Source organism: Homo sapiens, chromosome 6 (genome assembly GCF_000001405.40).
Source record: "Homo sapiens chromosome 6, GRCh38.p14 Primary Assembly".
Lineage (NCBI taxonomy): Eukaryota > Metazoa > Chordata > Mammalia > Primates > Hominidae > Homo > Homo sapiens.
This window is the reverse complement of record NC_000006.12, coordinates 12,637,452-12,638,820: the sequence shown is the minus strand read 5'-3', so window position 1 is coordinate 12,638,820 and position 1,369 is coordinate 12,637,452. Positions and strand designations below refer to the sequence as shown.

Here is a 1,369-nt window from a genome sequence, read left to right as displayed (position 1 = left end):
ATTTTCTGTATTAAGCACAAGGCAGTATGATTATTCCATATATGAAACCATAAAAGAAAAATAGACTGGACTCTACTAGAAAGGAAAACATGGAGAAACTTTTACCTGCCTCAGCCTTGCAACAAATAACATATATAATCTACCTTAAAATAAGAAATACGTAATAGTTGAAGGAAAGTAAAATACAGAAAAGAGAGCGCATGAGGTGGTGTTTTGGCATATGCCACTTCTTATAGGCAAGGAGTATAGATATGGAGTTGGTGGTTAAGGTTATGATACATGTTTAAGATTGGATACTTAAAAGCTTACCTGCCTGGGTCTTAGGGAGCTACTGGTAGTGTGTATACATGGACCTCACTCATAGTCAAGAATATTTGGACATTGCTCACATGACTCTTCCTAAGATATTGGTATAAGAATAAGAACCTGAATTTCAGAGAGTATTGACTAAACCATAATGTAAGGTTCGAGCAATCAGGTGGTTTTCACAGGCCACGTAGTGTTGTCCAAGGGTTTGAGGTGATGTGAATGAAGTTTTTTGCGTTAGAGAATCAGTGACCACAGAGGTCTTTCTAATCTGTGTGTGAGCACCGCCTGCTGGCCACCACAGGGAAAATTGACCCTGGGAAGCTGTTTCACGGAGAAGCATTGGTGCCTAGACAGGGTATCACAGTCTTTAAAGAAGTTTGGCCATATGCAAATTACAGTGATGATTCACTGTGGTATGCAAATTACAGTGATGACTCACTATGGAAAGAGATTTTTTGCTTTCAAAGTGTCTTGGAATGTGAGACTTTGAGAATTATCTTTCTAAAGGGAGCGAGTGTGGAAAAGTTATTCTAATGTGCTGTTTGTAGGAGAGTAGGTTGGTTTAATCTTCAGGAAGTGCATTTTGGCAATGTGTGCCAAAAAATTAAATTGAACTACCAAATCCTACTTTTAGGAATTTATCCTAAACAAGTAGTAAAAAAAATTAGCGAAGATAATTGCAAGGGTTCTTTTTTTTCCCAAAGTAATATTATAGTGGCGAAAAAAATGTATTCCATTGTGAAGTAAAGAGACTGTTTATGTAAACTATGGTTTGGCCACCTAATGGAATACTATGTTGCCATAAAAAGGATGTATGTATTTTGATATATATCAATATGGCAAGGTATCTATAGTATATCATTAGGTGATAAAATGCATGTCCATTAAACTTCATGTACTGTATCATGAGCTCTGGAGTCAAACGGCCTTGTTTCAAATTCTGGCTTCTCCACTTGCTGTCATATGAGTTTGGGCAATCTGACCTTTTCTGTCCTCAATTTTTTTATCTCTAAATAGGAAATTTATTGATAGTACATACTTTATAAGGTGGCTTTAAATA

General features: G+C 36.3%; 1 annotated feature.

Moving 5' to 3' along the window:
* Positions 515-574: a silencer, noted in NCBI's record as "silent region_16923". NCBI's record gives its function as "represses an Ori minimal core promoter by ATAC-STARR-seq in GM12878 lymphoblastoid cells {active_cell/tissue: GM12878}" and the evidence as "EXISTENCE:reporter gene assay evidence [ECO:0000049][PMID:35858748]".